This window comes from Homo sapiens, chromosome 6 (assembly GCF_000001405.40).
Source record: "Homo sapiens chromosome 6, GRCh38.p14 Primary Assembly".
NCBI classification, from domain to species: domain Eukaryota; kingdom Metazoa; phylum Chordata; class Mammalia; order Primates; family Hominidae; genus Homo; species Homo sapiens.
The window spans coordinates 45,931,313-45,957,061 of record NC_000006.12 but is presented as its reverse complement, the minus strand read 5'-3'; the positions used below and the strand labels follow the sequence as shown (position 1 = coordinate 45,957,061).

General features: G+C 44.9%; 1 protein-coding gene and 1 long non-coding RNA gene across 16 annotated transcripts in view; one reads left to right on the top strand and one right to left on the bottom strand.

The window, feature by feature from the left end:
- CLIC5 (chloride intracellular channel 5) overlaps positions 1-25,749 on the top strand; it is a 248,993-nt gene that overhangs the window by 172,758 nt on the left and 50,486 nt on the right. For 12 of the 15 annotated variants that reach the window (XR_926258.4, XR_007059275.1, XM_047418896.1 and 9 more), the window contains 3 exons: positions 1,818-1,927; positions 7,681-7,806; positions 15,409-15,515. Coding sequence is in view for 10 of the 15 variants with exons in the window: in XM_047418896.1 (XP_047274852.1) it covers positions 1,818-1,927; positions 7,681-7,806; positions 15,409-15,515 (343 nt within the window). In the remaining 5 variants the exon portion in view is untranslated. Of the gene's footprint in view, positions 1-1,817; positions 1,928-7,680; positions 7,807-15,408; positions 15,516-19,464; positions 19,658-25,749 lie in introns of those variants that run through there. The other 3 variants (NR_045672.1, NR_045673.1, NR_045674.1) reach the window with 1 other exon arrangement.
- Positions 14,571-15,438, bottom strand: LOC124901326 (uncharacterized). The gene is made up of 2 exons (XR_007059604.1): positions 15,354-15,438; positions 14,571-14,737 (listed from the first exon to the last, which is right to left on the bottom strand). It is a non-coding gene; the product is annotated as an uncharacterized LOC124901326 (long non-coding RNA).

The window sequence follows — 25,749 nt, the reverse complement described above, 5'->3', positions numbered from 1 at the left end:
GGAAATTCTTCCTGTGTCGGGATGTCTTAAAGGACCGAGAACCTGGTACCTGTCAAGTGCTTCTTGAGAAGTTCCTAGGGAACGTACATCATAAACTCAAGTTAGCACCAAGCTATTATTAAATTGATAGCCACCTGTCTGAGCATGCTTTATTGGTAACTTTACCTCCGTGGGAAGGTGTAGCGCCCACACTGTACCCTCCTACCTTTCCCATTTTATATAACGGAGTCCGTGCTTTCTCAAGACTCAGGGGTGGGTCTGCTTCCAGCACTGAGGAAAAGTGAGAACTGAATAGGGAGTGGGGCTTTTGGTGTAGTTAAGAGGGAGGTAAAATAACTGTAATTTCATAGCAATTACATGCAGCCAACACTGTCAAAAGTTCCAGTTTTCCATTATAAACCTGAGCCCCTGCTGGGAGCAATTTGCAAGGTAGAAAAAAGCACACAATGAGGTTCTAATGTATGAAAGAAGGCATCGCTGCCTCCCCATCTGAATGCCATAGCAAAACAAACCTCAAGGGAGAAAACAGTGTGTTGAGCTTCGAGAACGCATTTGTTTTCTCCCTTTCTTTTGAAAAAAAAAAAAAAAAAACTCAGTAAGCCCCCATTCCTGGATATTGGTCGGATTGTTTACAGCTTTGTACGAGTCTTCAGTACCCTGGCCCACACAGGCCCTTCCTGTCAGTGGAATGCCCTGCCAGGCCACCTGCGGGGGCCATGGTTTCCAGGGCAGCCAACATCAGAGTCTGGAGCAAATGGGTTATTTCTTCCTCTAAGTATTATGTTGGGGGCCAATAAACCACCCTATGGAAATGAATTCTACAGAGACCAATTCCCCAACCTTTTTTGTTTGTTCATAGGTTTGCTTGAAATTAATTCTTTATGAAATTCAGGGATCTGCAGCCCACTCAGAAGTGCAGTAAAGATGGACTTGCTTTTCAGACCTAAAAAAGCCTACTGTTTTGAGGAAGGGAAATGAAATGACAGAAGCACAGAACACCCAATAATAATTCTGTTATTTTTACATATGTTCCTGTCTTATCCCCAAGCCCACCTACAGAAGGCCATAAGCTCCTTGGAGGAATTCAATTTTCAATCCCCTGGCTAATTTTCTCCAGTGTCTTGCACATAACTGATAGTCAATATGTATTTGTTGAGTAAAAGTGTAACAAATGAATGGATTATTGACAGTGAAGGCCAAGTACTAGCCAGAACTAAGTGGTGTATTGATTAAAGCCTTGAGCTTCCTGATTAGCCTCCATATAGGGAGATGGGATCAAAGTCTGAGATATTTATATTCATGACATCCAAGGACTGAGGGGTGGGGGAGGGTAAACTACAGAGGAACATATTTTGGCTAGGTAGCCGAAGGAAAGCATTTCTAATTGTTAGAGCAATCCTCAGAATGAACTGCTTTGAGAGATATTAATACAACTGACTGGTCAGTGGAGATATTCAAGCAGAAACTAGATGATTACTTGGGGGTGTAGATGTTGGCATTCCAATATCATTTGTGTCAGACTAAGTGATGTTGCAGGTCTATTTTTACCCCAAGGGTTCTATGATTTCATAAAGTTATGATTCTGCATAATCATCAAGTTCAATTCAGCAAGTATTTATTGAGCCCTTACATGCTGCCAGGCATTGCCCTGCGTGGACATTAAGGCAAAAACTAATAATATCAGGCTACCGCCCTTTGAAGTTGCTGGGACATGGTTTTAGTAAGGTCTCCTCAGACCTGCATTTGGGTGTTACAATCTTATGTTCCCCTTGCTAATTGCACCTGCCCACTCAGGACACTGGTTCTCTTCTTTCCAGGCTGGAATCGATGGAGAAAGCATCGGCAACTGTCCTTTCTCTCAGCGCCTCTTCATGATCCTCTGGCTGAAAGGAGTCGTGTTCAATGTCACCACTGTGGATCTGAAAAGGTAACGTACGTTGCATAAATGAGGAGTATGTTTAGCTGCATGAACAGAGAACCTTCCATGAAGGAGGGCAAAAGCCTTCCGTGGCTCCCAGCAGCCCCCTGCTCACACGTCATTGTCCAGAACTGTGTCTCAGGATCCAGTCTTAGCTACAAGAGAGTCTGCAAAGGCAAGTATTTCACTTGGTGCCCAGCACTTCACTGACCCGATTAGCAAGTTACGATTAGCAAAGAAGAAGCAAGGAATGGACAATGGCATTGCAACTAAGTTTCTGGTGCACATATGGGCACAGACATCTAAAAACATAGGATTAGTCATTTCAGTAGTACTAAGGCCATCATCCGTGGGACCCTAGCAGGACTTCAGGTGTGAGAGTCTGAGTCTTCAGAGAGTTGTGATCTAGACCCTTTCCCATGCTATGTTCCCAGCTTTAGAAGTCCTCAGTGTGACAGTTCTAGATTACAGGCTTGGACGAAAAGCAACTACTGTTCTGTTTTTAGAGTGCAGTTTAATGACTTACAAACACCAGGAGCCACACTCTTTTCACTCCTACAGAATGTATTCTGTTTCCTGTCTTCTACCTGTTGTTTAAATGTGGAACAGCTCGAGGCTCACCCCATAAGTGTTCATCTTCTGCCTCTACCTTCATCCCTGGTGAGCTTGGCATATTCTCCTTGTTATCTTTATGTGAATTGTTCTACACCCAGAGCCCTGCTATCATCTAGATAGTTTCACTTGGATGTTCTCTTATCATGTATGTCTAACATTGCATACATCAATTTGTATCCTTTTCCTCTGAGTTGAGCTCTTCTTGAACTCCTTTTTTCTTCTATTTTCTTTTCTTTCTTTTTTTTTTTTTTTTTTTGAGACAGAGTCTCACTCTGTTGCTCAGGCTGGAGTGCAGTGGTACGATCTTAGCTCACTGCAACCTCTGCCTCCTGGGTTTAAGCAATTCTCTGCCTCAGCCTCCCGAGTAGCTGGGATTACAGAAACATGCCACCATGACAGGCTAATTTTTGTATTTTTAGTAGAGACGGGGTTTCACCATCTTGGCCAGGCTGGTCTTGAACTCCTGACCTTGTGATCCACCCACCTCGACCTCCCAAAGTGCTGGGATTACAGACGTGAGCCACTGCTCCTGGTCTTTTTCTTCTATTTTCTAGGCACTAAACACTTCCTGCTCCTTTCTATTGCTGCCTTCATTGTTGATCAGTAGCCAAGTCTAGAGCATTCTCCTATTGCACTCTCTCTTCCTCCAAACTCTCTTTTTCATTCTCAAAGCCTACAACTGGTTCAAGTCTCACCACTGCCACCCTGAGAGTCTCATTGTTCTTCAAACTGGTCTTCATCTTTCCAGGTTCACACATTCTCTTTTTCTCTCTCTCTGACCCATCCTTTATGTGATTCTAAGGTTATTATTCCTAAAATAATGCTTTAATCAGGCCACTTTCATGCACAGGAAACCTTTGATGTTTCCCATTGTCCATGGACTTGATGCATCCGAAGCCCCGATTTGTCTTTTCCTTCATTCTTCCCAACACTCTTTCCCAACACTTCTCACCGTGACCTGTCTACTCTGTCAGGCTGGCCTGCCTTCTGCTGTTCTTCTTCCTTTGAGCCTCCATCCCTTGGCAGAACTGCATCCTCTGTCTAAAACAGGCCCTCTCTTCCTTCTTGTCCCTGGCCCCAGGCTCAGCTTCAGCCCATCCCCTCTGTAAGGCCTACTCATACCCATCCCACCACACTCATACAAGCACACCTGTCAACCCAACCTCCCTCCAGACTCACCCAGCACCTGTTGTCTATGTTGCCTTGTGTCGTGATTTAGTGTTTCATCAAGTTCTGAGGTCTGCACCCCTAATGCTTTACAACTGGTAAATGCTTTCTCATTAAAAAAAAATCACATAATGTATAATCCTGTGAAGGAGGTCTTACTTCTCCGTGTTATTTGAGAAATAACTGAGACAGATATATATGAGACTCGCCCAAGATGCCAACTAGAAATTAGAGGGGCTAAACGCCATCTGCTTGGTTCAAATACTATGCTCTTCATAATACCTCAGTTATGAAGTTTGTTTCATCTTTCAAATGAGACCTTCAATCCCTCAAGGACAGACTGGAATCGTGTTTTAAGTTTGTTTGTATCCTCCATAGAAACTAGTTTTTCACAGGTCCTCAAATACTATCTGTCAAATAAATGAACTTGCATCCACTATGCAATTAATGTCTGTGATAACTAAAGAGAGCAGCAGACTTATGAAAAAGCAGCTTCCTTCAGTGCAGAATTGGAGGTGTTTGGATTACCATGTGTGAGAGAGGACTTGTATGTTTGCTGGAGAAGAGAGTGGGAGAGGGAACCACCCCTGCCCGCGTGCTTCAGATGGTTTGGTTCCTCCTTCACATGATCACACCTGGTCCAGCCAACACCCCTTTGACGTAGACCAGGCATGTAGCACCACTCCATTTTTACAGATAAGGAAACTTTCTTACTGCCCCCTCTACCCATGAACACACACATTAATTTCTAAGAAAACTGATTTATTTTCCTGGCACTACACTTTAGTGACTGAATAATCTTGAACTTTTCAGAGCCTCAGTTTCCTCATCTGTACAATGGAGACAGTGTCTTCTTAATCAATAGGATTATTGTGAGAATTTATCGAGGCAGGCCATGTAAAACATTTGCAATTGGTCCTGTACCTGACTCATAGCAAGAACTCGTTGCATGTTGGTTATTCTTAGAATTATCACTGGGTTCATGGAGCTGGCAATCCAGTAAGGAAAAGAAGACCGATCCTCATTACATAATTCATAAATCATACCTGGCAATACGTCATCCAATGCTAATGATATAGTCTCAACTATAAATACTGAAGCAGGGTCAACAAAGACAGAGGGCTGCAACTCTAGCTAAGCGTCGGTGGCCATAGGCAGTACTTCCCAAGGGCGTCTGACTCCAGTGGCCACAATTCTCCAGAATCCCAGGAAAAAACCCACCACCACCACCATCACCACCACCACACATTCCTGTATCTGTAAGCCACAGAGAGGTGACTGAGAGCACACACGTTGCTGCCTTGTGTCAGCTCTAAAAAACAGGAGCAAATAAAGAATGTCCTTTCATTGTCTAAAATGAGGGACATGCACAAAGTAAATAAAGGGACTAAGTAAATTAGATTTTAAAAATACTTTCCGTCTCAGTTGTCTGAGTTCCAAGTGCCTCAGAATGCAGCTGGAGAGTGTGTGTGTTTGGGGAGGGACATGGGAGTAGCACAGTAATTGAAATTCTTCTCTTCCCCTCCCAAACTGATTACGCCAGGAATTTGTTTCATTACAGACTCCTCTACTCCCACTGTTTACTTTTTTTACAGTTTCTGCGTTTAATGTTTTCCACTCCCGACTCCCACAAGAAATGTGGCATTCTCAGAGAGAGCATTTGGGGTGAATCCCAGCACCGTCTTGGAAGTCGCCACCATTTTCCCTCCTCTTCCCTAAACATTTTTAGTGTAACCCTCCCCTTTCCCATTTTCCCCAATCTGCCAAACCTTCTTCCCCCTCATTTTGCTCCATTCTTGCTCTTGCATTCTGACCAGCTGGCGCAGACACAGAAGCACACTCCTGGATATTAACAGGACCTAGCCGTGTCAAACACAAGGCCACTTTCCTTTCCACTGCACTTGGCCTTCCTGCAGGTAGTCAGTGTGCTCCCCAGTGCACGCCAGAAATGCCACTTAGCACTGCTGTGGGCTAAGTGCAGGAAGTTCAATTAATTGTTCAGTTAATTAATTGTTCATTCATTCAATTGGGACTGCGTTCCAGAATTTCACCCACTTCTCCATCATCTAGGCCTTTCTTTCAGGATAATTTAGGACTCTTGGGTCTCCTCTTTCCCAGGGGGGAGAAATGCACTGTTGCTTTGGTTATCTTGGATTTCTTTAAGTGTCTGACCCAGAAACTAACAGGCACACCAAAGAGCTTTCTGTCTTCTTAGGGAGCAAATTTGCTGCCTATTACATATATATGTATGTGTTACCTAAAAGATCCTACTGGGCCCAGCAAAGTTTGCTATAAGAAGAAATAACTTTCATAAATCAAGTGATCTATTTGAATCCCATCACAAAGCAGAAGTTGCATTTACTTAGAAAATAAATTGTTTTTAACTTAAGATAACATTTAAGTAACCCCATAATTTTTAAAAATAGGCACAATTTCTGACTCCTAGGAGATTTTTGATTTATGTATGTTGAACAGAATTTTTAAAATTTAAAGAAAAATAACTTCTTTCTAGTAAATCTAGTAAATGTTCTCAAAATAAGTCTTATTTTGAGAACAGTAGATGCTTGAATTAAGTTAAAATACTGTGAAAGGTAGACTATGGTGGAGCATGAATACTGTAGCAGTGGAGTTGCCTACTGGTTCTCCCCACATTTAACTGAAAGCCGAAAGCCTTCATAACTGGATTGAAGTTTTTACCAATTTGAGACCAACATTTGATTTCTACTTTTGCAGCTAAAATCACTCATTTTTAAATTTAAAATGTATGAGTTTTTATTGCTGTTGTTGTTTTGAGACCGAGTCTCACTCTGTCCCCCAGACTGGAGGGCAGTGGTGCCATCAACGGCTCACAACTGCCTCGAACTCCTGGGCTCAAGCAATCTTCCTGCTTCAGTCTTCCAAGTAGCTGGGACTGCAAGCACATGCCTCCATGCCCAGCAAATTTTTGTTTGTTTTTTTTTTTTGTAAAGATGGGGGTCTTGCTATGTTGCCCAGGCTGGTCTCGAACTCCTGGGCTCAAGTGATCCTCCCACCTCACCCTCCCAAAGTGGTGGGATTACAGGCATGAGCCACTGTAGCTGAATCAAAAATGCATGCTTTATTCATGTAGCCATTAAAAATATGTATCTACTGAGGGCCTCCTATATGCCAGGCATGGTTCTGGGTCCTTTCCCTCATGGAGCTTGAATCGTAAGGCTTTCTCTCAGGTATCTTCTTACTCACCAGTAGGAGGTTCTTGGTTCAGAATCCTTGGTAATAGCCTACCTGGTGTTTGTGGAGCAATAATCTTAGCAATAAGAAGACTTTTGAAAACATCTTCATTTAATAGTTTTGTTTTCAATCTAATAGTTTGTTTATTTTCCTGGCTACCCAAAGACCATATCAGGGGCTGTTTATAACTCAAAAAGAGTATTCTGTTGAGTGTGACAAAAGGCTGACCAATGTTAGACATTAGTTATTAGATATTAAAATATAAGTTACACACAATAGAAGCATCTAACTTGAACAAATGGCCCAAACTCCCAATTTTTTGTATCTGGAGATATTTATTAGGAGAAAAGTATGATCTAATTCATTAATTTTTAAAGTATGGAATTATGTGTAGCGCATTTTTGTTAGGCAGATTGGTGAAAGAGCTTTTAAAAGCAAAACCCCACCTCTCCCCTGGGTAATTAAAGCTTGGATCTGACTTAGATAGTCACCTGGATTCTCTCCATTTTTTCAATTCTTTCATTTTTTCAACTCCTTCATCTTGACTTGTTCCTCTCTCACTGACTCCACTGGACACACTTCCTGGGTCACACCACATTCTTTCAGAACTTTCTCCAACCTCCCCTGCCCTATACTGCATACCATAAATCTGTTTCACCTGACAGGCATGTTGGATAGCACAGGGCATCTAAGTTACAATCAATCTTAGGTTTCCCAGAACAGGAAGCACCCTGCTGTAAGCCAACACCTGAATCTTGCTCTCTCTACAGAAAGCCAGCTGACCTGCACAACCTAGCCCCCGGCACGCACCCGCCCTTCCTGACCTTCAACGGGGACGTGAAGACAGACGTCAATAAGATCGAGGAGTTCCTGGAGGAGACCTTGACCCCTGAAAAGTAAGGATCTGTTTCTTTCTGGGGCTGTTGAATGGGAAGGGTTCATGCTGGATCTATAAAGTCCTGGTGTTAACTTCGGGCAGATGCATTTCCAAAGGAACCTCACCAGTCCAGAGAACAGGACCCTTTCTTCAAAGAGAGAGCCTAGGACCCCCAAAGGGCTGCCAATCTCAAAACCACTCCACAAAATCCACTCAAGAGTAGATATGGCCTATGAACAAGAGCCAGTCACTCCTACCTACACAGAGTGATTTTAGGAGCCCTAGGATACCAGGCCTCCCTCGCCCCAGTATGTTCCTTCTCTCCAGCTCACTTTGCTTGGAAGACGTTGAAGTGAGGACAAAGTTTCCTTCATTTCAGAACCAGAGCCGAAAGCCTGACAGAATGAAAATAAGTCAGGAAAGGGTAACCCAGTGACTTAAAACAACATCCAGGGTCTTAAACCTGACCAAATCTGGTCTGAGTCCACAATTAAACAGATGAAAAAAATCAACTAAAAGCAGCAGCTCCTCTTCTGCAAACAGGTTCAGGGAGAGTATAGACCGTAGAGCTATAAGTTCTTGTTGGGTGACACATTGCTACTGATGGAAAAGAGCAGTAAAAAGAAGACAGATGGCTTCTAAAATTTACCCAAGCTAGACTTGTTCATTAAAGAATACTATTATCAAGGATTAAAACAATCACAATTTTTGAAAAAACTAGAAAAATAATATTACATATAGAGTGAGGCATGAACTTTATCCTGTAGGGTATTATCCTGTAGTGAGTCCTGTGGGATATTCTGAAAGGGATTAAGCACAGGAGGTGGGGAGTCCGTTTTAAGACCTACTTTAGAGGTTGAGGGAAGTCGGTATCCTAGAGGACCATGAAGCTGGAGATAGAGGAATTAATTCTGGGGAGCCATTGGTGACTGTCCAGGCAGGACGAATGAAGGGCTAAGCCAAGACAGGGCAGGAAAATCGGGGGAGAGGAGTAGGAAGGGTTCAGGACATACTGAGTAAGTAAAGTTAGTGAGATTTGACTACTAAAAACCACCATCCTGCATTTATTTTAAAGTTTTATTTATTCATCAACACTTTTATAGCCTTCATTTTGTGTCAGGCACCATTCACAACACTTAGCTAATATGATTCATTTCATCCTTCTAGCATCCTAGGTACTATCATTATCCTCATTTCACAGTCAGGACAGGGAGAGAGTAAGTCACTTACCCAAGGTTGCACATCTAGTGAATTGCTGTTAAAAAATTAAAACTGCCAGTCATGCTCCAAATAAGCCTTAAACAATCATATATTCTTCCTTAAAAATATTCTTTGTCATCCATATTCAGTCAGCTTATTTGCACACTGAGAGTGAAAAAGCCACCTCAAGCCCATTGGAAGCAGCTGAGTATAGACTCTAAATAAGTGCATTAATTAAATCAATAGGACAGCCCCACATACACACACACATCTCTGAAGAGGACACCAGCCAGCCACTTCACTGGAATTGCCCTGAGGGAGCCCAGACTCCATCCCCCTCCCCGGGACTCAACCTCATTGCTAGCACTGATTTGAAATCCCACATGAAAAAAAATGCTGTTTTCAATAACTAGAGTTTAGACTTTGCCTGGGAGACCCATAGAGGAAAGTTCATGACGCAGTTAACATTTTCCCTCTTAGAAGTAACACTGGCACTCAGGAGTGGGGGCTTCCGTCATGATCATTAGGAAGTGGAAAGTGGAAGCAGTGAGGAGCAGAGGGGCCCATTTGGTCTGTTGCCAGGCAGTGGATGGAGGGGTGAGGGGCTGGGGTACAATCCTAGTCTGCTAGTGATGTGCTGTGACCTCTTGAGCCAGTCCCTTCACCTCTTGAACCAGTCTCTTCTCTGCTCTAGGACTCAGTTCCCTTCTCTGTGACAGGATATCTCCCAGAGCCCTTCTTGCTCTCTGATTCTTCACATGCCCTTTAGCCAGGTTCCCTCACCACTACCACACCACCCCCAGTGCAACTGTGCCTTTCCTGGGCTGCTTCTCTAACTCAGGGGTCTCCAATCTGCAACCACGGTGGGACCACAAGGTGGACAGAGATCACTGGAATTGTATGCCCCATGCGTCCTTGAACATTCTTCCAGAGGCGAGTCATCATCTGACTTCGTCATCATTTCATCAGATTCTAAGTTTCCATGATCCAAATAGAGCTGGGCAGGGCTGGATGTGGACCCTCCCTCCACTCCCTCCTCTCCACCTACCTTCCCTGTCCTGAGCTCTGCTCCCGCTGGTCCAGGTCCTTCTCTGGACTGCAGTTGTGTATAGGAGGTTTTATGAAGTGCATTCCTGCCATGTTAGTGACCTAACAATCCACTACTCTCAGGTAGCAGAACGCTTGATGCTGTTAAAATGCATATCTCCAGAAGCCTACCAAGGTGGGGGCGCCAAGGGTGAGGCCATCAAGTATTCCAGAGCATCCCAGGATTATACCTTAGATGCCTTTGCACCCATCAGACTGAGGCAGGTGCCACAATTACCTCCCAGTAAATGTCACCAAGCCAGTGCCTCAGCCCCATAGAGACCTGCTGGTCTGCCCAGAACAAACCACCAGCCTCACCAGCTTCCCCAGCGACTCAGGCTGGGAGATGGAGTGGCTGGGAGGTTGTCAGGCCTCTGGAGCAGGACAGCCTGGCCTTCTGGTTCTCTAGGGGGCAGCAAAACCCTCATAACCATTCACCAAGCGCTGGTCGGCCATGTGTTTCTCATCATACCACTATTTGTAAAAGCTGCCAAAAGCCAACACATTATGGGAGGCTTTTTCCCTTAGCTTTATTTTTTAAAGGAGAAAACCACATACAAACACTCCAACCATTTTTTTCAAATCACATTTGATCCCAGGGAGCATTTGGTGTCAAAATGAGGAATCCAGGAAGTCTCAAGTTGTTTCTAAATGAGACTAACATCCATCCCTCTCCTTAGATTGATCTAGTGAACACTCGACAAGGAAGTGTTGTGATTAATGCTGGGATTACTGTTGAGACATTCTGGCCCTTGCCTTTCATCTCCTGAAGTGGCCAAAGTTTCTAGGATTCAGCACTGAGAGTCAGGAGCCCTGCCTCTGGCCACCTCTCTATGAGTGTTTGTCATATGACCTTGGACAAGCCTCTCTCCCGCTCAGACCCTCCTTGCCTTCTCATCTCTAAAATGAGGGGGTGAAACTACATAGTCTCCAAGATGTCTTTTGTTGCATGTTCCACAATTCCATGAGTTTCTCAAAGTACTCTTCCAGAGCTGGTTATTGTCTCAAATAATCCTAGCACATAGATGCTGTAATAAAAATTCAGGAGGGTAAACTGATACAGTCTATTTACACAGCATGTCATTTAGTCAGTCATCTAGCAAGAATGATTTAAGTATCAACAGGGTTCAGAACACTGACAGAATTGGAAGACAACTTGAATTCATTATTTTACAAAATGTATAGCGATAACTCACCACAGTAAAAAACAAGAAAGTTCTGACCCTCTGGGAGGTAGAGAAACAGCCTCCAGACCTCCCACAGGATGGCATGGTAGCTGGGGGCAGGAGGTTTGGAGTCAGAGTGACTCGGGTTCAAATCCATACCACTAGGTTGTGCTATGTTGCAGTAACAAAGCGGCCATAAAATTCCAGTTGCTTAACAGAACACAGGTTTATTTCTCACTTGAGCAAATTCTGAGAGGGTAGGGTGGCCCTCTTCCATCCTGTAGTTTTTGGAATACATGCCCTCCAAGGCTCCTTCAGGGAGAGAGAGAAGAAAGATCTCCCAAAGTGTTTTGCAGGGCCAGGCCTGCAAAAAAAATGTCATGGTGACATTACTTTCCTTCCTATGCCATTGGTCAGAATCCACACGTGATCCCAACTTAGGTGAGAGAGAAGCTGGGAAACAGAATTACATGGCTATTTAGTGAGTATGCATATTCTCCGCTACAGGCAAATGACCTGAATTCTCTAGAATCTTTAATTCTCACATCTTTAAAACAAGAACCATACTGTTGATCTTATAGGGCTATTGTAAAAAATAATACTAATGAGCCTAGAGCCTGATATGAAGTAAGAGCTCATTAAATGGAAGCTCAAGGAGTTAGAAAGAGTGGCCAGTGCCTGTTTTGGGTCTGTCTCCCAGGTGCAATTGTACAGACAATTGGTGACCTTAGGTCTTAAATCCCCAGATCCTAGGGGATATCTTTTAATGAATAAGCCAGGCCTCTTCCACCTCCAGAGATCTTTTGCTTACACAGCAGACATGAGTCAAACAAGCACACAGTCAAGGATTAGAAAAGTCAGATGCATTAACGTCCTTCACGTGTGAGGGGTTGATGAAGTAAGGAAGTGGGAACAATGGAGAAGGGAGAGAGAGAGGAAGTCTTTCCACTTTTCAGCTCGTGAGAAAAAGGAGGGAAAACACTTAAGCTGCCATCAGCAAGGCCATTCCATCAGGACCGTCTTTCTTTTTCTCCAGGGTATCTATCCCCAAAACCAATCTCAGGGCCTAGTCCTCAGTAGGTGTTTCATGCACATTGGTTTAATTGCATGGTGGGTATCCTTTTGTTCAGTGTCTTGGTTGGCTGTGGCTAGTCAGTGAGAAGTCAGCTGGGACTCTAAACCAGATAGGGCACTTACCATCTGCAATGGTTTTCTCTTTTTTTGCTACTATTTTCTACTTTTGAAAAATTTTTTTTTTTTTTTTTTTTTTTTTGGTGAGAAGCCAACTGTTTTACTTCCCAGAATGAAAGTTAAGTGCATGCATTTGAAATAAGATATCCTAAAAACCGGGTGGAGAGAAATTTTCATCAGTTAGATCAGGAGTTAGCAGCTTTATCTGTAAAAGGTCAGATAGTCATGTATTTTTGGCTTTGTGGGCCCTTCAGTGTCTGTCACAATTCCACAGTGACACTGTGAAAGAAGCCATAAACTAGTATGTAAATGAATGGGCATTGCTGTTTCAATAATATTTTACTTATGAACACTGAAATTTGAATTTCATATTATTTTCACGTATCACAAAACAGTATCCTCCTTTTGATTTTTTTCAAGCATTTAAAAATGTGAAAACCATTGTTAGCTTGAGAACCTCAGACAAATAGGGGTCATGGGTCACAGTTTGCTGACTCCTGAGTTAGAAAAAATTATCATCTCTTTGATTATCATCAGATCACATCCAATGTTATTTCAAAGCTGTTTCTGTGAGTGAAACACTCTTCCTTAGCCTTTTAGAGAAACAGAATGTACTTTGTAGCCCGCTTATTTGCATATTTAAAACACGCCATAAATATGGAGGTAAAATGAATGCACTTATCCTATATAGTATCCTCCCCCAGTGTAGTTACTGAAAGTTGCGAGATTAACATCTTAGAGACGCACTTCCCACAAGAACAAAGCTCAAATGGAACACTGCACTACACAGTAAAATCACAACGAGTCCTAGTGCTTGGGAAACAGGATGACACCACCACAGCCCCCTGAATACACGATCCTCTGTCATCATCTTGGATTTGGTACCACACATCCCTGTTTGGCCCAACCTGATTGTGAAGAAATGATCAGATGACTGAAAGTCTGACCAATTGATGAGATACAGCAAAACAAAGCAAGAAACCCAAACAAGCTGTCCACTGAGGTGCATTTTCTAGGCCTTTCTGTCTTTACATTATCAAGGAGAAACAAAGAACACTTGGCATTTGTTAATAGCAATTTAAGTCTATCGATTCTAATAGCATGCTGGATTCTATGTGAGAAGGCCAAAATAGAAAGAGATGACACTGAATTCCTGTGTCTTGGTAGATTACCTAGTATCTTGCAGGAAGCCCTGCTGTGTGCCCCCAGCCACAGCAGATGAATGTGGTGATTCTCAGTATACCCAGGAAGACATGTGTGTGGAGCATCGGTGCAAAGCACCCCCTCCTGATGGATGGAGACAGCTCCTCCAAGGTGGGCAGCTCAGCCTTTAAGGTTCTGGGGCTTTGAGAATCAACAGCGGAGTTTATGAGAAGCCACACAATGTGGAATTTAAAACCTAGTCTTCCACAGTGAAACTGCCTGGGTTGGGATCCTGGCTCTGCCAGGCAGCCATGTGACCTCAGGCAAATTGCTTAACCTCTCTATGCCACCGTTTCCTCATGTAGGAAATTAGGCTAATAATAGTACCAATAGAGTTGTTCTGAGGAGTAAATGGTGAATACGTGTAAAGGGAATAGAACAGTGCCTGCCTGCTGCACAGTAGGTGCTCAATGCAAATTACCTTTCACTGTTTCCAGAGAAGCAGTGGAGGGGGAAGGACACTGCTGTAGGGCCAGGAAACCAGGTTCTCATCGTCCCTCCACCATTTATTAGCCATCAACATTTATCTTCTCAGGTATCCAGTTCCCTTCCATGTAAAAGGAGGACAATAATGCCTTCCTTATCTGCCTCACAGCAGAGAGCTGGACTCTTCCAATGGCAGTATCTCTGAAATTACACAGCCACCTAACATGGCCCCAAAAGGGGCCCCAAAAGGAATCCTAGCTCATGGGCCAGTTGAGTAACAAAAAAGCATTAAAGAACAACAAATATTTTTTAAAGTCTTGTTTGGTTCGAACTATCAAAAACATCAAAACAAACAAAAAGGATTTTGCTTTTTAAACGTAAGGCAACCCACCAGCCCACAGTCAAAAACGATTCACCCAGAGATCACAGAGGTGCACATTCATTGAAAATAATGATAGCCTGGCGACTGTCTCCCATCTCTTCCCACCACTACCTGGCCATACCCATAAAATGCTTATGAAATAATATTTATTTGAGTTGATTTTTTTCATTTTGATGGGGCTAATGAGTCCAAGCCCTGGGTTCCCACATGAGCAAGTTTACCTCCTTCAGTCTCAAGGCCAATCGTTCTAACTCCAGCCTGCCTCTTGTATTATTGTGGCTTCAAAATGAAAGACTCTACGAAAGAGAGAGAGAGGGGGGCTGGATCATTGCAAATGTATCTCCAAATAAAATAAAATAAAACAATTGAAAACACATGTCCTTTTTTGGAGCTTGGTAGTTTCTGCATGTTATTACTGCACACAAATAATAAGCATGTAAGGGCATTTCAGAAGAGGACCGTGGGTATTCTTCCTTTGGAGAAATGGTTTAATGCTAACATACCTGGCTTCTCCTTGCTCCCAGAATTAGCTCTGTGTAGCTAGGATTATAATCACAGGACTGGCAGTAGATGGTTATTTTAGCGGGTAAGGGAAGTGTTGAGAACCCTACCAGATAGAGAGGCAAGCTCAGAGGGAACTTTGATTGCGCCATCCCACTGGCACATCCTTATTGGTGGTCCCAAGAAAAGGACACATCCTGAGACCCCTGAATGGCATTCTGGTTCTTTGCCTAGCAGACTGTGTCACCCTAGGCAGATCTCAGCACCTCACTGGCCTCTGGTTTCTTCTATGGATGCCCTAGGGCTGAGAATGCCCACCCTCCCTATAGTATGAGGATAAAGACCCCCAAAACATTTTGTAGATGCAGCTGGAAAGGGAAGTATTGCTTATCATGATAGGGATAGGCTCACCCTTAAAGGAGCTCCAAGTCTACTGATTCACAGAACACTGCATCCTCCATTCCAGGTACCCCAAACTGGCTGCAAAACACCGGGAATCCAACACAGCGGGCATCGACATCTTTTCCAAGTTTTCTGCCTACATCAAAAATACCAAGCAGCAGAACAATGCTGGTGAGTGACTCCCTTCCACCAAGAACCCTTGGCAGTGGTCTATCTGCTGCCCAAGGCATCTTCAATTTGCCCATAGGCATGTCAAATACTTGGGCCAGAGAAGCATCTGGAACCAATACTGCTTATTATTTGCCCCCACCCCCCGCCACCACCATCTTGTCCCCCTTGACACAGGGGAGGAGGTGGTGGATGCTGCTGCCTAGCTGGTGCAGGAGGAAAGGCTTGGGGCTTTACTGCCAAGCTGGAGAGAGGGATGCTCTTTGTCATCTGAGCCTGCCTTATTGCACAGCATAGTGCACTGCACGGAACGGTCCTCACTGCCCATTTGTCCCAAGTTCCCAACCCTGCCTGTGATCACATTAGAGCAACATATTCCCGCTTCCTTCTGGTCCCTACAAGGTTTCTCCAGGGATTTTTCCAGAGGCCAAGGGAGAGGCAGCACAGTCACTACTGTGGCAAATGTGGAAGGCAGACCTGGGCTGTGTTCTCCCCTTCTGCAGGACAGTGGGCCCTGGAAAGCCACTCCTCAAAGCCTGGCCCATCCTACATCAGGCCCTTCATTTCTGACATTGGCTACAGAATTCAGGACTTGGTTCTCTTGCGGGGCCTTCTGAAAGGGAGCTGAGTCCCCCCCAGTTATGCTCACAGCACTTTCAGTCCTTCATTTGGCATTGCCCTTTAAGAATTACCTAAAGCCATTTGAATGGAACCGTCCAATTAAGCAGGTATAACACTTGAAGAACGGTGTTAGGCCCAGGAGGAACAGGCTAGCCACTGCAGTGCCAACCTGGGGGGCTTGGATTTTTATCCTATGGGCAATGGCAGCCATTCCCTTGCCCTCAGAATGGGATGACAGGACAGCCTCACAGGCTGGATGACTGGAGTCCAGCACAAAGCCAAGCAACTTAAGTGCTCCATGAATCTTTGTGAATGAACAAGTGACTGATGCACAATGGACCAAAACAAGGGAATAGATGCTAGATGCCCCAGAAGCTCCAAGGAGAATAGCATCTCTTTGGATCAAGGCGACCAGCATATGCAGCTATGCATGGTAAAAGAGACGAAATCATGGCAGGAACAGAGTTGGTGTATCGGGAAGTAAATAATTCAGGAAGCTACTCAGGACCCAGATTGTGACAAGTGCAAAACTTGGTTCTGGAGGTCCAAAGAAGAAACAAACACTTCCTCAGTCTTCAATGCCTGGCAGATGCAGAAGGACAGGCTTCAAGTCAGTTTGATCCAAGAGGGTCTGGAGAGCTGATTAACTGCAGGTAAAAGAACAAAATAATTTCTGTCGAAGGTATTCAGAACCAGAAGCATTTACCATGGGGGTAAATGCATGAGACTCCTTTTCTGGGAGTTTCAACTGGGTCATAAAGATTAAGAAGGAAGCAGTTGGCTGAGATCATTGAGCAGAAGATGCGGGGAAGTTGAGAAAAAGTCAGGGACAGAGACTGGAAAAAGTGACTGAAGCCCACAGTGCCAGCTTGGAGGGCTTGGGTTTTTATCTTGTGGGCAATGACATCCATTAGAGGTGTGTGTCAAGAAACTAGAAAGAGAGTGGCTTCTGGGAAATAAGAAGAAGCATGTGGAAAGTACTTTCAATCTACTTGGTGCTCTTGCTTCATTGCTGCTTGAACCCTATAGTGTGTTGAGTAGTGTCCCCCCAGAATTCATGTCTAGCCTGGGCAACATAGTAAGACCCTGTCTTTACAAAAAAAAAAAAAACTTGTTTTTAATTAGCTGAGCAAGGTGATGTATGCCTGTAGTCCCAGCTATTCAGGAAGCCATGACAAGAGGATTGCTTGAACCTGGGAGGTCGAAGCTGCAGTGAGCTATGATTATGCCACTGTACTCCAACCTGGGTGAAAGAGCAAGGTCCTGTCTCTAAAAAAATTTTTTTAAATGTATGTCCACCTGGGATCTCAGAACGTGACCTCATTTGGAAATAGGGTCTTTGCAGCTGTAATTAGTTAAGGATTTGGCGATGAGATCATCTTGCATTTAGTGTAGTCCCTAAATCCAATGACTGTTGTTCTTATAAGAATAGGAGAGGGGCCAGGTGTGGTGGCTCTTGACTACATCCCAGCACTGTAGGAGGCCAAGGTGGGTGGATCACCTGAGGTCAGGAGTCTGAGACCCCCGTCTCCACTAAAAATACAAAAATTAGCCAGATGTGATGGCACATGCCTGTAGTCCCAGCTTCTTGGGAGGCTGAGGCAGGAGAATGACTTGAACCCAGGAGGCGAAGGTTGCAATGAGCCGAGATCACACTGTTGCCTGGGCAACAGAGCGACACTCCAACTCAAAAAAAAAAAAAAAAAAAAAAGAGGAGAGGAGAGGACACAGACATGTAGAGGAGAGAAGGCCATGTGAAGACAGTCAGAGACTGGGGTGATGCTGTCACAAGCCAGGGAACTCTTAGCTTTCCGGAAGCTGGAAGAGGCAAGGAAGGACACCTACTAATACCTTGATATTGGAACTGTAAGGGGAAAAGTCTCTGTTGTGTTAAGCCACCCAGCTTGTGGTACTTTGTTGTAACAGTCCTAGGAAATGAATATGGCCCCTCAGAGCCATTGTGGGAAAGAAGAGTCATTGCTGCTTTCCCGGCTGAGGACAGAGAACCAAACGAGAAGACCCATGACTTGTCTACCCCCAAGGCAGAGCTGGCTCTCGAACCCTCGTTTTCAGACTCCACACCCAGTATCCTTTCCTCTTAGCCACAAATATCTTCTTTCATACTTGTCAAAGTGCCCTCAGAAAGATTATCTCATTTGAGCCCTCCAGATTTTTAAAATTATAAATGGTGTTTACATATTATCCATATTTACAGTTCTCCTATTCCCAAGTCCAAAGCCAGTTTCCACCAAATGCCGCATATCCATTTCTTATAAACTCAGTACTCTCCAATTTTCATTGTTTCCCCTTCTTCTGTTTCACCCTGTTTTCTTCTGTAATGAGACTTGCCCTTGTGACTCCTGCTTCCCCTAACTCATTTGCACATTTCAAAGCTCCAACATTGCTGCTTTCCCAAAGAGCCTGTCCCCAGATGTGCTATTCCACCTTCTGTTTAACAAGACACCACACATTCCTTCCCTGGAACTATAACTTGCCCACACCCCTCCCTTCCTCTTTACTTGTCCTTCCTCCCACCCAATACCCCCGAGTTGTGGTCAACTGGGTCCAAAATTCTTAGGCTTAGCAAGCCAGAGGTGAAGGCTCCTGTAAGGCTTGCCCTCCTGTAGAGAGCAGCATGGCTCCTGTGTTACGGTCCCAGAGCCCCACAGCCCCTGACCCGGGAGATGGTCCATCCCCTTTCTGCTCTGTGTGAGCTCCATGGCTGTGGCCTCTCCCCAAGAGCATCAGCATTCAGGCCCAGGCCTCCTTCCACATGCCGCCCTACATTACTTTGCCATTTTTTTCCCTCTGGATCTTCAGCTCTGCACCTAGTTCTCCAACTTTCTTTCTTTAGAGGGTTTCTCTTGTATTTTCATTTACTTTCTCTTGAGCAGAGCCCTCCCTCCCCTCTACCTGGTCACTAATGCCCCAGCCCCCATACACACACTGGCCCAGGTCATGATCCTTTTCTGCCCTCTCAAAATGAAAGCATGAGAAAAGCCAACACTGTTACATGGTTCTCCATGGTGGGTCACCTCTCCACTCCACTCCTGTGGTGGCTACAGGAACCACCAAGTAAAATTTCCCTGTTGTTCCCCAAAGCCTTGTAAGTCCCCAGCTACCACAACCGAGACCCCATCCGTGGGAGCCATCCCAGCAGTACTGGAGTAATGGAGAGAATCATCCATTAGTTTGTACATTCAGTCATTCACTGATTCATTCAAAAAACCACAAGTTATATAAAGTGACTACAAGTCCGAGCTAATATTTAAAGGGCACTGCTTATGTGCCAGGTACTGTGCTAGGTTCTGGAGTTGCCAAGGCAACGAGACAAAGTCATTGCCCTCCATGAACTAACAATCTACAGGGAGCTGTAAAACAAGTACATGTGCAATTCCCGGCCTGGGTTTGAATCCCAGCACTTCTAGCTGCACAACTTTACCCAAGAGGCTTATTCTTTCTGAGCCTCTGGCTCTGCATCTGTAAAATGGACTTTACATTCAGTTTCTTTATCTGGCAATAAGGTAATTAATAATATCACCAAGGTTTGTAATGCAGGTTCATCTATTTTATAACTCAGCGCATGTAAAACCCTTAGCGCAGTGTCTGGCCTCGTAACTGTTAAATTTGATTATTCTGATTATTGCTATTAGCACAAAAATGGGACTAAGATGAATAATGACATCAGAAACTGCTGCTTCAGCTCTTGCTTCCCCCTCAGTTAGCTCTTCCAAATCTCCCACCCATTCAGTCTATTTTCTACTTTTTAAACTTTGTTGGTGCATGGTCCTCCTCTCCAAAGTGTCATCAAGGAGCGTCAGTGGCCTGGCCCAACTCTCATACCTCAGCAGCCTTGCATTTTTTTTTGTTCCCTGAGGGACGATTCTGTGCTCCGTGTTTAGGCCTATCACTGTACTCACCCCTCCTCTGTAATTTCTAGATCCAGGTCCCCTTGGTCTGCAGTAACCAGATACTGCCTCCATGCCCCCTCCTCTCACTCTTTCCAACCTGCTCTTCACTTCACTTAAATGTAGACTGGATTTTCTCATGACTCGGTGGCAAGATCCCACATTAAGTCAGGTGCTACTTGGGGAAGTTGCTTCGTTTTCTTGTGCTCTAAGATCTCTCACCCACACGCCTGGTTTTGGGGAGAAGGATAAGGACGGTGTTTCTAAACATGCTGTGTTTCCTATGCAGAGAGGCAGGTGACTGTGTATGGCTCAACTTGCAGACTCTAAAGCCAACTACTTTAGAGTTCAGAGTTCAGACACCAGCTTTGCCTCTTGTCCTTGTAACATGGCACAGGTTACTTCAACTCTGTAATGCCTCAGTTTCCTCATCTGTGAAATGGGGGTAATAACTGTGTATACCTCATAAGTGTGCTTGGAATAATGCCCACTACCACGTTCAAAGTCAGCTGCTGGGGCCAGGCATGGTGTCTGACCCCTGTAATCCCAGCACTTTGGGAGGCCAAGGCAGGCAGATGACCGGAGGTTGGGAGTTCGAGACCAGCCTGACCAACATGACAAAACCCCATCTCTACTAAAAATACAAAAATTAGCAGGGTATGGTGACAAGCACCTGTAATCCCAGCTACTCAGGAGGCCGAGGCAGGAGAATCACTTGAACCCGGGAGGCGGAGGTTGCAGTGAGCCGAGATCACGTCATTGCACTCCAGCATGGGCAACAAGAGTGAAACTCCATCTCAAAAAAAAAAAAAAAAAAAAAAAAAGTCAGCCGTTGTTCTGAGCAGTTATCTCGGGTAGACAATTGTACCTTAGCAGAGAGTTCTGGTATAAAAATGCAGTTTGAGGGGTTATACATCTTTAGATGATTAAGACGATGCCCAAGGATCAATCACATAGATGGGATGACAGAGGGAGAGGAGTCAAGGAGGAAGAGAAAGAAGGACTAGCCAGGGAGGATGGAGGAAATCGGGGGTAGTGGGGAGGGCATAAAGATGGGAAAGCAAGCTTTATTGTTGTTGTTGTTGTTTTAAAAGAGTGATCTGTGTTATAAAATGCTGCAGAGAAGGTCCTGGGAGACTTTTGCCTGCTATGTGCAGCTCCCTGAAAGTGTTCTTGGATATCCTTTTCTGTCTGCTTTTCTCATGTGGAATCCACCCATTACTCAGATTCTACACAACCAGAGAGAGCTCAGTCTGATGGAGGAAGCACAAACCCTGCTCCCTTAGAAAGGGGAGGACCAGTGGGTGATGATAGGGAACTGGATCAGGAACCCACATGGGAAGAGTGCTCGTGGTCCTGCGAAAGAGCATCTTTGAGATGGGAGAAAGCAGCACTGCATTTAGATTTGGCTGGAGGGGTTCCTCCTCTGAGCCCCACATTCACTTTTTCAATCTTGCAGGGAGAAGTTATGCCCTGGGTTTAGACCTGGAGGTTCATAGAGTGCTGAAGTAGAAGGCTTGAGGGAGGGCACAGTGTCATCCATGCCCCTTTGGCACATCCTGCAGCATCCCTGTAATTAGCAAGCAGTTAGGTCTGTCCTCCCCCTTAATCATGCTCTCTACCCAGCCTGCCTGGCACATGGTGGAGTTCAGCAAGGGCCCAGGCCTCCACCTTCTGCAAGCCAGTGCCTCCACCTCTAGCAAGCGTCGCTGTGAAACACCCCTCCCCGCCTGCCACTGGAACACCCCTTTGGCTCCTTGGGTTTGTCTCTTCCCTAAAGGGGTTTCTTTGACACCTACTTTAACATGTCCCCCACTCTCTGTCATTCCTAAGAGGATGTGGACTTCTCCCTCTGAATATCTGTCTTACATTTTGCATTTCTTACCCTCAATCTGCCATTTGAACAGACTCTAAAAATCCCTGCAAATCTCTTGGTTTTCAAGAAATTCATTTTAGTTACTTATCATAATCTAGGCAGAAAGTGCTATATTTCACTTTATTTTCCACAATCTCTCTTTCCTTATGCTTCAATCCTAGCAATACACATGATTTATTTCATGTTCTGTCCCCATCGCATATGGCAGGTAATTAACAAATGGATCTAATGTGCATCTTGAATGCTCTATTTTGATTAACTAATTTGAAAAGTCTCCTACCCCTTTTTAAAATTTCTTCCAGGTCTATCATGTTTCCCTCAGATACAGTTAATGTCCTACCAAGAATTACCATCCTTGTTTTTGGTGCCAGTGTCATATTCTCATGTGCTTTTGCCCCTTTTCTTTTTAGCTGGAGAGGAAGTAGGCATGCCTATGCCTGTAGCCTAAGACAAAAATTCAGTATTTCTCCTGCTCTATTCACGCTGACCACCTTCCATCCAACCTCCTTTTGCGCAGCCCACTTCCACAGGACTCCCTTTCCCCTAGTGAGAGGTCTGAAAAGCCCCAGGGGCAATAGTATCTCATCTGTATCACATGCAGTCTTGGGGCTTAAGCTCTCTCAGGCCTCCCAGGCGACCTGCACTAAGTGGTGTTTTGCCCAATCTGGATGGTTTTAGTCTTTCAAGGCTTCCTTTGAATTCCCTCTTTTCTTCCCCCTTCAAGTCCACTTTTCTCTCTTATTTCCACCTCTGTATTCCTCTGTCTTGGGGGGCCTTCTTTCTATTTTAAAATTTATACTCCACTTGTTCCAGAAAGGCTTTATAGCTACTCCCAGGGATGCATAAAGCACGGCAAACCAACAAAGGCCAAGAGGAGGTGAGAAAGAAAAACAAGGAGACAACCATCAAATGGAGCCCTGGGTGAGCTAAAACAGTCAGGGCAGCCCCGGGGCCTTCGTGCGCCACACAGAAGGTAGACCACAAATTTGGCTCTAAACTTGTGAGCAGACAAAGCAAAACAGGGCCCCTGGTCAGCTGCAGCTCGGTCCTCCTAGAAGATAAAAACAAACCAGCCTCCCAGAAGAATAACAAATATTCCTGCTGTGAGCCGCAGGCACGGAGGAGCTGTGGTTTCCATTTTCTTTGGCTCTCCCCTCCTGTGACTTCTCTTTCAGGCTGCTGTAGACTCCAGGCCCTGCTGACTTCCTGCTGCTCTGACTCCTCTCCATCTTCCCCCACCTGTGAGCTGTGCTCCTCCCGATCTCACAATCCCTGTGTTCTCTCTTCACCTGAAACTCACTTTCTTCCTTTCTCTCCATCTTCTCTGGAAGACTCAGGAGACCTCCCTGCAGCCTCAGGCGTGTGTCGCCAACCTCCCTGCCCCTCTCTGTCCACCCAGCACATGGGACACAGAACAGCCTGTCTGGGCTTATCTATTTTCATCAAGATGAATGGGCTCCTGCACTAGATGTGCAAAGATGTACCCCTTTCACTCGCAAGGCTGCACCTAGTTCTCTTTTTATGGAAGACTCTGAGATGTCCTAACATACTCTTCCTAAAATACTTGTCCTAATAAGGTGCTTCTAACTTCCGAAAGAAAGCCCTAAAAACCTTCCTTGGTATCTGTGACGTGCTGGGCATGTGCTCAGATTGCATTGCCCTTCATCAGTTGTAACTGCAGTGGCCATGTTTTCCAAACTGAAAATCAGATGCCTAACAAATTGCCTTCATTGAAAATAATCAAATTATAAGAAATTGGTACTGTCCCAGGAAATCCAGGACACATGTCCCCAGATGAAAAGCACCTGGTTAGGGCTAAGCCCTCTGCTTCTCCTTTCTCTCCAATCCAAGCTCAAACGTGGTTACCAGAGGGCGAGGGAGTGTACCCTAGTTCCCACCACCTCCTGGTTCCCAATTTGTTGCTGGAACAAAAAAGTGGCCATTAGCCACACAGGTCCCTGAGCAGTCTTGGTTCTGTTTCCAAATAAAGGCCAAGGTTTCCACCTCCCTAAGGCTCACATCAGAGGCTCCTCTTTCTGGAACCTGGAAGCTCCCTGGGCTTATTCTGGAAAAATTGATTGTCCCTGCCACATAGAATGGAAGAAGACTCTCGGGTTATTCTAGGAACCTCAGTGAGTTTATCTCAGAATTTGGATGATCATTCCCACTGAATGGGAACGTGATTGAAGGAGGACATTGTGGTTCTTATTAACACAATATCAATGACTGTCATCCTGCCTCTCTCATTTCCCTTCCTCATCTCCTAGAGCCCTCATATAAGGCAGCAGGGGCAAGCCAGCCACAGGTGCATTCCTCGCTCTTTCCTTGTCTTCTTGTTCCATTCAGGCCCGAATCTTCAAATTGCTCCTGTCTTCTCCTTCTAAGAGGTGCCACCTGCAGTGGGTCATGCTCCTGGCTGATGCTGCTAGAAAAAGAACTCATCTGTATCACTGGCGGTCTTTCTTTTCCTTCCAGGTTTTCATGGTTTGTGTCCCCAACAACTCATCCCTGTCCTCCCATCTTGCAGACTGCCTGGTGTGACCACACCGACAGACTGATTCCTGCAGCCGGCTCTGGTCCTCCCTACCCCGGGGGTCACAGTGCTTCCTTCCCTTCGCTCCCTTTTAATAAGATCTTAAGACTCTTAAAGTAAACGTATTAAGCAAGATCATCCTCATTTGATGTATAGAAAATTTAGGCTTACACACTTCAGCTCAACATTAGAAAGTTTACAATTAGGCCGGGCATGGTGGCTCACGCCTGTAATCCCAGCACTTTGGGAGGCCAAGGCAGGCCGATCACGAGGTCACGAGTTTGAGACCGTCCTGGCCAACATGGTGAAACCCCGTCTCTACTAAAAATACAAAAATTAGCTGGTCGTGGGGGCATGTGCCTATATCCCATCTACTTGAGAGGTTGAGGCAGGAGAATTACTTGAACCAGGGAGTTGTAGGTTGCAGTGAACCGAGATGGTGCCACTGCACTCCAGCCTGGCGACAGAATGAGACTCCGTCTAAAAAGAAAAAAGAAAAGAAACTTTAAAATTAAATCTGTAGAATGGACTGCCAGCAAAAGAAGTGAGTATCCCATCAACAGAAAGGACCAAAAAGAGGCTGGATCTTTGGAGGCAGGAACTGCCTAATCTAAGGTGTCATTGATTGTACGACACTATTATTTTAAATACTGGCTGGGCACAGTGGCACACACCTATAATCCCAGCACTTTGGGAGGCCGAGGTGGGCAGATCACTTGAGGTCAGGAGTTTGAGATCAGCCTGGCCAAATGGCAAAACCCAGTCTCTACTAAAACTACAAAAAAATTAGCCGAGCATGGTGGCGCACACCTGTAATTCCAGCTAGTTGGGAGGCTGAGGCAGGAGAACCACTTAAACCCGGGAGGCAGAGGTCGCAGTGAGCCAAGATCATGCCACTGCACTTTAGCCTGGGTGACAGAGCAAGATTCCATCTCAAAAACAAACAAACAAACAAACCTCTAAGAAACAACAACAAAATGCTATCACTTAAACAAAGTGTTTTCACTTAACCTCTCATATTTTGATTGTAAGACATTGCCTGATTTCACAGATGTTAAAGAGTGAAAAAAATGTGCACCTTAGACTTGAGACATAATAGTGGACTTTCACAGTCCTTTCCAGATCTAACCTTTTATTACTTCCTTGAGGCTATTCAGTGACATGTCAGACCCTCCTTTTGCTTGACCTTGAGCTGCCCTGTTGGAAAAAAAGTGAATCAAGTTCAACATTGCTTCTAAATTGCCCTGGGATAGCGATACTAGCTCCATTTCCAGTAAATAGCAACTCTGTTCTCTGTCC